The sequence below is a fragment of the Homo sapiens genome, chromosome 3 (assembly GCF_000001405.40).
Source record: "Homo sapiens chromosome 3, GRCh38.p14 Primary Assembly".
Classification (NCBI taxonomy): Eukaryota; Metazoa; Chordata; class Mammalia; order Primates; family Hominidae; genus Homo; species Homo sapiens.
In genome coordinates, this window is record NC_000003.12 from 121,543,793 (window position 1) to 121,549,792 (window position 6,000).

Sequence of the window (6,000 nt, forward strand, 5' to 3'; positions counted from 1 at the left end):
GACCAAGATGTGAAACCCCGTCTCTACTAAAAATACAAAAATTAGCTAGGCATGGCAGCGGGCATCTGTAATCCTAGGTACTCAGGAGGCTGAGGCAGGTGAATCACTTGAACCCGGGAGGCAGAGGGTGCCGTGAGCCGAGACAACTCCATTGCACTCCAGTCTGGGCGACAGAGCAAGACTCCATCTCAAAAAAAAAAAAGAAAACCCATAAAAATTTTATATAAAGTATATTACTTGTTGTTTGTATATACAACCCTGTACAAACAGGTCAATCTATAGCTGGGCACGGTGACTCACACCTATAATCCCAGCACTTTGGGAGGCTAAGGTAGGCAGATCACTTGTCAGAAGCTCAAGACCAGTCTGGCCAACACAGTGAAATCCCATCTCTACTAAAAATACAAAAAAGTAGCTGGGCCTGGTGGCGCACACCTGTAATTCCAGCTACTTGGGAGGCTGAGGCAGGAGAATCACTTGAACCTGGGAGGTGGAAGTTGCAGTAAGCCCACATAGCGCCACTGCACTCCAGCCTGGAGACAAACTCTATCTCAAGAAAAAAAAAAGGTAAATTAACAAACATGTAATGATAATGCTCATACCCTGAAAAGCAACCAGGATCAAACAGGGGAAGGGCAGATTTACATCTCCCATTGCACACTCACTGGGATATATGTTTGTTGAGAATAATGGCAGGCAGAATTGCCCACTCTTTAAATTGTCATTTTTCTTGCTTCCCTCCACCCCAGTCAAACAATAAAACTTTTGTAATTTAAATATAAATAAAACTCCACTTTTCACACATATTGTACGATTTTCTCTAGTTATAAAGCACTGCCTCATTCACCTTTTAAACGAACCACAACTACCTCAATAGAGTATTCTTTACATTCATATCTTAAAAATAGTAATTAGTTTACATAAATTTGGATACCTGAATAAACTAAATTCTTTCCTTCCAGGACTTGTCCAAGCAAAAGGCACTCTGCCTGCCATTCAAACATCTTTTTTACACCAAAACTGTGGTATTTTTCCAGAACTGCTTTAGGAAGTCCCCAGTTTGCCAATAGTAGCTTGTCTCTTTCGTAGTCAGGAACTGTAGGCTTGCATTCTCCTTTTAGGAAAAAGAAAAAATTAAAATTTAATTTACTTCTAATATATGAGTTTTACAGTTAGCCCTTCACCGTGTGTTGGAATTCCTATGTGTTGAAATGAAGCTCTTTAAAGCACATCCTGACTTCAAGAATCTTATGAGAAATTGACCATGTATAGAAAAGTAATAAATTGTTATTTACTGCATATAATAAAAATTCCTTAAAAGCCTCAAACGAACAAAAAAGCGTGCAATACACAGTAGATAAAGAGTGTTGGAATTACGGGTGTAGTTGGGGGAGGAGGGCAATATGCAAGCATTACAAAGCTAAGTTAGGTGAGTTTCTATTTATAGTAAGTTTTAGTTCCATGACGACTGCACAACTAACGATTTTAAAAAACTGGGTCGACATCCACGGGACACCCAACCAATCTCATTACGAATCCCTTCCAGCCTTCCCCTGGACGCCGAACAGCCTGTGCCGTACTCCAGGCCCAACAATCCTGTCTTAAGGGTCTGTAAGGAGTACTGGGTACTACCAGGAACGAGCCGCCCAACAGATGATGGGATGAAGCTAACTAGGAAGTTGTTTCTCTAAAGGTCGAAAGATCCAGAAGCCACGTGAACATTAATACCAGGCGATCACTGAAAACACGCGTATGTCTGAACAGAAAGTGACCTGCCACACCAGGCCCCAGTCACAGAGAAGGGGAGTAGAAGCCCAATGGGGTATGCAACGAAGCAAGTCCCGTGGGGTGAGGACACCTCCCGACCCATGGCCCGGCGGAGCTGCCCCCGTTGCCCGCGGCCTCCCGGGTTCCTGGAGCACCTGCAGCTGCGGCCTTCAGGCAGCGACCAAGGCCGGGCGGCGGGCTCAGCACGGACCCGGAGAGGAACTGGGGGCTGGCACTGCTGTCACCGCCGCTTCCCGAGAACGAATCTGAGCCTGATTCTGAACGCCGCCGTTTCCCACTCCGACGCAGAAGATTCATGGCAAACTCTTCTCGGCCGATCAGGGCAAGCCACAGTCCCAGCGTCCTCCCTCTCGGGAGAACCCTGGCCTGGCAACAGCTGCGGACATCTTCCCGCCAGTCTTCAAACTCAAACCTCCCGGCCCGCCCCGGAACCATAGAGTTCTCCGTGGCTTAAGTAACCCGAAAGCCATAGACTCGTGGGGAAGGAGCGGCTCTCGCTGGCGTCTAAGACTTCCGGCCTCCAACCTCCTGGTTGGTTAATATGAGAGATAGATTAAAGAGGAAGAATACAGAATCTACAGTTATAACCATACTGACCTAAAAGCCTTCCTTCTCCTTTTGTCCATTTCTGGTTTGAATAGGAAGGCCATGCTAACTTCATAAAATGGGCTGCCCATAATAGGTAGATCAGGGAAGTAGCTCTTCTTAACGTATTGGTATTCTGTAAAAAATTATTTCAGATTGAGAAGCATTATGCAAGATAGCCTAGGGTTTCTAATAGAGCATAATTTCCTCCTTTCTCCTAGTATATGATGGTAGGGCAGGGCTATTTCTGAACACAATTTCCATTTTAGCCAGCATGCATTGTGAGGAATATGTAATGAGGAATTGGGGATTGCTGGCTGACAGACCCCTGAGACACTATATGAACGCCGCGAGGAAGGGGCTCTGAATATACCCCAGGGATCGTTATGAGCCAAGAGCTTAGTAATGCATCTGTGTTGTCCCTTTTGTAAAGGTAGAAGCGAACGAGTTCTGAACGTAAAACGGTGACCATTCATTACCTAGTTGCATAATTCATTTCACCAAGCAAAACTAGTAGGCCCTAAGCCTGACCTGAAGAGGCTGTGCAGTTCTAGAGCACTAAAAATCTCAAAAGGTCCAGTCCAATTAAAAAAAAAAAAAACACTCGAATACAATCTGGAAAATAGCATTCGAACCATCAATTCCTTCCGTGAAAACATTTTTTTGATTTAAATGACAATATTCTAAAGTTCCACGAGATGGCGACATTACTCCGTGAATGAAACATTTTTCTCTTGGCCTTTTACGCAATCAACAACTATTTACTGAGTATCTACTGTAAGCTAGCCACTGGGTAAATGGCAGTGAAATGGCATAAAATGGTTCCTGCTCTCAAAGAGAAAGAGTCTAGAGAATAAGGCAGACATTAAACAAGTCAGTTAATGAAGTGTGCCATATGCTTGGGCAGAAATGAAGAGTACTATTAAAGAAATAAAAGAGATCTCGCCGGCCGTGGTGGCTCACGCCTGTAATCCCAGCACTTTGGGAGGCCGAGATGAGTGCATCACCTGAGGTCAGGAGCTCTAGACCAGCCTGGCCAACATGGTGAAACCCCGTCTCTACAAAAATACAAAAAATTAGCCGGGTATGATGGCGGGTGCCTGTAATCCCAGCTACTCTGGAGGCTGAGGCGGGAGAATTGCTTGAACCTGGGAGGCGGTGGTTGTAGTGAGCCGAGATCGCACCACTGCACTCCAACCTGTGCGACAAAGAAAGACTCCGTCTCAAAAAAAGAAAAAAAAAAAAAAGAGAGAGAGACCCCTAGATTGCAGCCAAGAAAGAACTTTCTCAGATGCAGTGTAACTTAAGGGTTAACAGTGCAACTCTGGAGTCAGTCAGTCTAGGTTTGAAACTTAGTAGCTGTGAGATCTTGGGCAACTTGCTTAACCCATTTTTTGTTTGTTTGTTTGTTTTGAGACGGAGTGTCCCACTCTGTCGCCCAGGCTGGAGTGCAGTGGCTTGATCTCTGCTGACTGCAACCTCTGCCTCCCAGGTTCAAGCGTTTCTCCTGCCTCAGCCTCCCAAGTAGCTGGGATTACAGGCCTGCACCACCACACCTGGCTAATTTTTGTATTTTTAGTACAGACAGGGTTTCACCATGTTGGTCAAGCTGGTCTCGAACTCCTGACCTCAAATGACCCGTCCACCTCCGCCTCCCAAAGTGCTGGGATTACAGCGTAACCCTTTTGTGCCTCCATGTCCTCATCTGTATGATAGAGATAATAATTGTAACAACCTATTTGGTTATTTTGAGGACTGAGTAAGTCAATATGTGTAAAGTACTTAGAATAGTGCCGGCACATAATAAATACTATTCAGAGAAAATATTTAGATGTTCTAATATAGCCCCCAATTTAAATTCAGCATTTTGCTGGGAAAAGGCTAAACTAGAAAAATCTCTTACAAAGCTATTCTGTTTTTATTATTAGGTGAACTATGATCAAATCAGAAAAATAATTAGAAAGGAATTGAAAGTTTTATGTCATCCTACCAAAAGCCTAGAGAATATTTTAAAATATATAATTTATTTTAAATGTTCAACATTTCTAATTTTTTCAGAAAAACTCTGAAAATGGAGAATAGAAGGCTATTTCTCAAAAATATTAAAGATGTTTATGCTAACAGTTATCATAATAACTAATATTAAAATACCAGAAGCATTTTCCATCTGTATTGTGTCTAAACTCGTGTTCCTTGGAATTTTGTCTGTGATAATTCCTCAAGGAGGCAGGGTGCAGTGGCTCACACCTGTAATCCCAGCACTTTGGGAGGCCAAGGCAGGCCGAATCATTTGAGGTTAGGAGTTCGAGACCAGCCTGGCCAACATGGTGAAACCCCATCTCTACTAAAAATACAAAAATTAGCCAGGCCTAGTGGTGCACCTGTGGTCCCAGCTACTTGGAAGGCTAAGGCAGGAGAATGGCTTGAATCTAGGAGGTAGAGGTTGCAGTGAGCCAGGATCACACTGAGGGAAGAGAGAGACCCTCTCATATTGGGAAGAGAGAGACCCTCTCATATTGTTTTATATTGTATTATACTCAGTACTTGTTTTTTTTAAAAAAAAAAAAAAAAACAAGGAAGTAAAACCAAAGACCAGCAGCCCGGCGCCACGCCCGAAACCAGGCCTGGGCCTGCCAGGCCTCAACCCAGTAGTTAAAAATCAACTCATAACTTAGAAACTGATGTTATTCATAGATTCCACACATTGTATAGAAGAACATCGTGAAACTCCTTGCCCTGTTCTGTTTCTTTCTGAATACCAGTGCATGAAACCCCTGTTACGTATCCCCTAGACTGCTCAGTCAACCACGATCCTTTCGTACGAAAACTTTAGTGTCGTGAGCCCTTAAAAAGGACAGAAACTGTGCATTTGGGGAGCTTGGATTTTGAGATAGTAGCTCACTGATACTCCCAGCTGAATAAAGCCCTTCCTTCTACAACTCGGTGTCTGAGAAGTTTTGTCTGCAGCTCATCCTGCTACAACACCATTGCACTCCAGCCTGGGTGATAGAGCAAGACTCAGTCTCAAAAAAAAAAAAAAATTCTTCAAGGTCTGAGCAAACCCCTCCAAATAAAATTTACACATACTTCTGCCAGTTACCTGGGAGACATACCAATTGTGGATCACTTTAAATTTAATCTTTGGCTTTTTAAAAAATATGTAAGTAGTAGAATTATGCTAGATACCCAGAGTCAGGTTTGTGCAGGCTTGCATCCTTATTGTCTCAATCTGCAGGACAGATATTTCTCTGCTTCATTCACTGAGAGTGCTGCCTTTCTTGGGTTTTGGCTTTCTGCAGAAATTTTTTTTTTTTTTTTTTTGAGACAGAGTCTCACTCTGTTGCCCAGGCTGGAGTGCAGCGGTGCGATCTCAGCTCACTGCAACCTCCGCCTCCCAGGTTCAAGCGATTCTTGTGCCTCAGCCTCCCGAGTAGCTGGGACCACAGGTGGGCATCACCACGCCCAGCTCACTTTTGTATTTTTTGGTAGAGATGGGGTTTCACCATGTTGGCCAGGCTAGTCTTGAACTCCTGACCTCAAGTGATCCACCCCTCTTGGCCTCCCAAAGTGCTGTGATTACAGGTGTGAGCCACCACACCTGGCCTATGCAAAGAATTTTAGATCTTA

General features: G+C 44.0%; 1 protein-coding gene across 1 annotated transcript in view, besides 4 other annotated features; it reads right to left on the reverse strand.

Annotated features, from left to right (window-relative positions):
* Window positions 1-2,196, reverse strand: part of POLQ (DNA polymerase theta) — a 114,558-nt gene extending 112,362 nt beyond the window's left edge. Inside the window, exons 1-2 of the mRNA NM_199420.4 lie at window positions 1,923-2,196; window positions 935-1,114 (exon numbers count right to left, since the gene is read on the reverse strand). Coding sequence (NP_955452.3) covers window positions 935-1,114; window positions 1,923-2,085 — 343 coding nt within the window. The 5' untranslated portion in view covers window positions 2,086-2,196. The remainder of the gene's footprint in view (window positions 1-934; window positions 1,115-1,922) is intronic.
* Window positions 1,929-2,158: an enhancer, noted in NCBI's record as "active region_20341". NCBI's record gives its function as "activates an Ori minimal core promoter by ATAC-STARR-seq in GM12878 lymphoblastoid cells {active_cell/tissue: GM12878}" and the evidence as "EXISTENCE:reporter gene assay evidence [ECO:0000049][PMID:35858748]".
* Window positions 1,929-2,344: a biological region, named in NCBI's record as "Sharpr-MPRA regulatory region 30".
* Window positions 2,050-2,344: an enhancer, noted in NCBI's record as "tiled region #30; HepG2 Activating DNase unmatched - State 1:Tss, and K562 Activating non-DNase unmatched - State 1:Tss". NCBI's record gives its function as "activates a minimal TATA promoter and a strong SV40 promoter by Sharpr-MPRA in HepG2 and K562 cells {active_cell/tissue: HepG2 | K562}" and the evidence as "EXISTENCE:reporter gene assay evidence [ECO:0000049][PMID:27701403]".
* Window positions 4,913-5,072: an enhancer, noted in NCBI's record as "active region_20342". NCBI's record gives its function as "activates an Ori minimal core promoter by ATAC-STARR-seq in GM12878 lymphoblastoid cells {active_cell/tissue: GM12878}" and the evidence as "EXISTENCE:reporter gene assay evidence [ECO:0000049][PMID:35858748]".